Source organism: Homo sapiens, chromosome 6 (assembly GCF_000001405.40).
Source record: "Homo sapiens chromosome 6, GRCh38.p14 Primary Assembly".
NCBI lineage: Eukaryota > Metazoa > Chordata > Mammalia > Primates > Hominidae > Homo > Homo sapiens.
In genome coordinates, this window is record NC_000006.12 from 91,845,860 (window position 1) to 91,850,888 (window position 5,029).

Consider the following 5,029-nt stretch of genomic DNA (forward strand, 5'->3'; position numbering starts at 1 on the left):
CAGGTAGAAAAACCATCATATATTAATTCCAGTGAATGCTCAGGATTGGACTCTCCCACAAATTATCAAAGTGCTTGGCAGATAGTGGGTCGATGTATGAGGCCCACAGTACTCCTTGTCTATTTTTCTAGACTTCAACCAACTGGCTGTGACCTCAACAGCTGCACTAGAAGCTGGGACTCTGCTGCCAATACACTCATCTTTGACAATTTTTCTTCTGCCTACTCTTGTATATTACAGCTACTGAGAACATTGGTTCTTAACCATTTTTAAATTCATGGGTACATTTGCAAATCTGATAAAAAGTTATGAATAATTTTCTCAGGGAAACATAATGCTTATTAACACACATATTTACGTAATTTTTAAAGAGACCTCCTGAATAGAATTCCTAAAATGCTTTCATGTTGTCAAAATAATAAATAATATCTATATCTATATCTATCTCTATCTATCTATCTATCTATCTATCTATCTATCTATCTGTCTATCATCTATCTATCTATATACAGAGAGAGAGAGAGAGCACTAATCTGTGAGGGCTACTATTCTAAATGTTTTACATATATAAAATAATTTATTACTTTTGACAGATCTAAAGGAGAGTACTACAGTTACCTAAATTATATATCGGAAAAGGAAAGCATAGACTTGTTACATAACCTGGCCAATGTCTCACTGAATTTAAACCAAGTCTATGTAATTAGAGAAACCATAGTCTTAAATAATATGATTTAGTCTTTAAGTATGCTAAGTGTTGCAATAAATACCCAGATGGTCCAAATTTGGCTTAAAACTCCCAGGGTCTTGCTTGTTATCTACTGGAGAAGATAGAGCTTATGAAAAGGTCTATATTGAAATGAGGAATGTGAAATGTGGTAAAAGAGAGTTAGAAAATACTAAGGATGGGCCGGGTGCGGTGGCTCACGCCTGTAATCCCAGCACTTTGGGAGGCCGAGATGGGCGGATCATGAAGTCAGGAAATCAAGACCATCCTGGCTAACACGGTGAAACCCCGTCTCTACTAAAAAAAAAAAAAAATACAAAAAAATTAGCTGGGCACGGTGGCGGGTGCCTGTAGTCCCAACTACTCGGGAGACTGAGGCAGGAGAATGGCGTGAACCTTGGAGGCGGAGCTTGCAGTGAGCCGAGATCGCGCCACTGCACTCCAGCCTGGGCGACAGAGCAAGACTCCGTCTAAAAAAAACAAAAAGAAAAACAAACAAACAAACAAAAAACAAAAAAAAGAAAATACTAAGGATGAACAAAGCAGTGATTAAACTTTTGCGAGTAGGGGAAAAATTTCAATGTTTTAAAGAGTTATTGGGTGTCCATTATTGGCTTAGAGATAACAACATGACAGCTGCAGAAAATTGAGGCCCTCAGAGGATTGTTTTGACAAAAGCACAGTAAGAAGTAAGGACAGCTTTCTAGGAGTAAACACAGCCTAGGAAAAAGAGCCAAGATGGAGAGGTGAAATAGATCTTGCATTAGTGCTCTGGGCATTAGAAGGTAACCTTCTTATCATCAGTTGGCCAAATGCATTGAGACTCAGCTTCCTTATCTCTTAGGTGGAAATGATGCATAATTGATGACCTTAAGGACCTGAACATATGGGTTTATTTAGTTACTCTTAATAAAGAATTTAATGAGAGCAAATTATGTACATAAAACTTGGCTAAATATTGGGAAGAATAGAGAGAAGAATGAACATGGTTACTCTTTTTCAGGAGTTTAAAGTCAGGTTGGAAGAGAAAGTACCTGAAAATGAATTGAAAAGATAAATATCATATATGTATATGAAATGAATGGTTTATATATGGCTCCAGTGAAAAAGAAAATAATTGTCTCACATTCATCAATACTATAACATCTATTGTTGCTGTGATGATTGCTAAGAACGGTGAATTTAAATTAAAATAAATTTCCTTGGTGAAGGAGTTGTTATAAAAAAAAAAGAAAATACAATTTCTGGAAAGAAGTTCACTCTTGGCAACATGGAAGAATGTAAAGGGTTTTATTATTAAATTATTTAATATTTTCTACCTAGTTGTCGAAATCTATAGGAGCCATGAACACATATTTAAAAGGTGTTCAAGGGACGCCATTCATTACACACCAGGAAAAAGTAGTTGGAACTTTATTAAAAAGTGACTAATAGGCACTCTAGATAATTGAAATGACAGCGTATTTTGACAGCTGCAAGCAAAAATGTACTTGTTCAAAATAGTGAGTGTAAATCTTTTTAATTTCCAGAAAGAAAAATGATGTACAGGTTTAAATTAATTCAGTCAGCTTATAAAGTGTAATAATAAAAGGTAACTAACTCTTCACTTGACTGGTGAAACCTCTGTTAATTGGAGGTCCTGCCAATCACTGCACGTTAGGGCTGGATGTGAAGGCCTCTGAAGGTCCTCAACTGGAAGAGGTGATTTCCTCTAGAGTCCTGGAGGAAACGAAAATCGCCACAGAAATTACCAAATATCCACAAAATAACCTTTATGAATACCTCTTAGTGTCAAATTTGGAGTTCACAAAACACACAAAACACTTAAATCTCCAAACAAGTAGACTGAAATAGAAACACATTCATCATCCACATGTGATGGCCCCCATAGGTATACTGTAAAGCCAAGAAGTGAGATTTTAAAAATAAATAAAGAAATAACAGAAGTAAATTTCCTAATCAACAAAATGGGTCAAATCCCAGGTTAAGAATAATCCACGTAACTTAAAAATGGACCAGTGTCCACTTGCTAAGACATGGCTACTTGATTTTATTACATTTAAACCCATAAAGGAAATCAAAAGGACAAACAAAAGCAGATGAAGATCCACATCATGGCTTTTCAAACTGACATTATATTTAGGTTAGGGAAAGAGAAAGTGAAATGTAGGTGCCAGCCTCAGGATCTGAGCGTCATTTTCTCCTAATTTATTTTATTTTATTTTAGATATGAGTAGTCATTTTATTAGAGACACAACCAGCTGTGCATTTAGATATCACTTTTCTAAGTTTTGACTATCCTTTTGGTAAGAGAGCACAACAATCGAACCCACTAAAAAGTGAAACCAGTCCATGAATGGCACGTGATTATACATTCTTAGATTTATCTTCACTCTTTGTGGGAAAGTTTGCTATAAAATGCATTTATTTAAAATGTTGCAGAGCATAGACTTCTCAGGAACAATTTAAGCACCATAAATGTTTCCTTCAAATTGAGTCAAAAGAGGCTGAGAATCATATTACATTGGGTGGGAATCCAATGTTTGGTTTTAAAATAAAAGAATTTCAAAAATTGGAGCACTGCCATTATTTACAGCAGCTAGGATCACTGTCATACGATAAAACCTTGATTTTTCTTTATTCTGAGCTCATTGACAGTGAAATTTTCACTTGCAAACCACACAGTGAGGTAGAAGGCTAAAAAGGTACATGCTTTAGATCATCTGACTAAATAGTTTTTTGTTTGTTTGTTTGTTTGCAGGCAAATCTATCCCCTTACTTAAGCCATAACCTTGACCTTAATGATGAAACTCTTCCATTAGTCAAATTTCTCAGGTCTATTTTAATCACAAGATAATCATTTTTTTGTTCATAGTTAAAGGTTTACATTGCATATATCTAATATCTTATGTATAAACAAGGGCCATAAATTATTGACTGGTTAATATGGTCCATGAATGAATTCATTGTTCTCAAAGTAGACACATTTTATTTTTAAGAGAAAGAAAACCAATCTAAATCCTTAATGTCTGTGAGGTGCTATACAGAAAAAATGCTTTTAAATTTTAATAACAACAAATAAGAATGTGTATTAAGTTAGCTTTGCCCTGGTGAAAGTGCACTCCATTCAGAATTTTTTAATAACCTAAAGAATTATGTTAATATATTGAATAATATTAAAATATTTAGCCACATATATATTTATTTAGCTACATATATATTAAATGGATATTTACCCATTATTGTGTTTAATAATATAACTTCTAAAAAATTCAAAAGCTAATATTGGTTTACAATGCAATAATGCAAATTACAAACATTCGGGAAACTAGGAACAAAGATTAGATGTAGATATGCATAAATATGATACATAAAGATGAACTAAGGAATTTAATTGATTCAGAAGTCAATATGAAAATCCCAGCATAAAAAAATTGAGTGCTGCTTCCAATTCAAGATGGTAGTACAGATTTACAAGACAAAGTAATGCATGGAATGGGGAAACAATGGTATTACTTAATTGGATAGTGTGTCTAATATGTGGAATGAGAAATGTAGATGGATTTGCATTGATTGCATGATATAAAATATAACACAGTTTGAGGATTTTAGCAAAAGTGGGAAACATTCTTGTAGCCCAATCCCTAGAAATACTCAAAGTTCAGAATAGGAGAACTCAAACTCTGAACTCAAAGTTCAGAGTGAGTGGATGACAGTCATCTTGATTATTAGGAATAATGTTGGCTATTCATAATCATTATCTTCACTAAAAGAAACCGCTGGATGAGCCATTCTTTCTTCTTTCTCTTCTCTTACTCACTTTTCACGACCAATGCATAGAAACAGACAACAGTGGTATTTAAAGCATAACCTGGAGAACAAATCTTTGGAAATAATAGCAGATCTTCCCACAGAGGTTTCGAATTAGGGTGTCTTAGAGAGAACCAGTAAAGGATTGATGTAGTTTTAGAACTCAAAAACAGAGAAAAACAAACCAAACCAAAAGTAATTCTCCCCAAGGAAAAAAATACTAACATAAAGTTCTTTGCTATGCTTTTATTTTCAAGCAAACAATTATTGAGTGCTTTCTATATGCCAGATATTGGTCTAAATGACGTATGTGTAACTTATAACAATCCTGTATTGAAGGGTCTATTATTTGTGTTTAACACATAATTGATACCAAAAGATGAAGTAACTTTCACCAAGTCCTGTAACTTACCAGTGATGGAGCCAGAATTTGAACCAGACAGACTTGGTTCCAGAACAGAAACCCTGAACTCCTGCCGCATGTTGCTTACC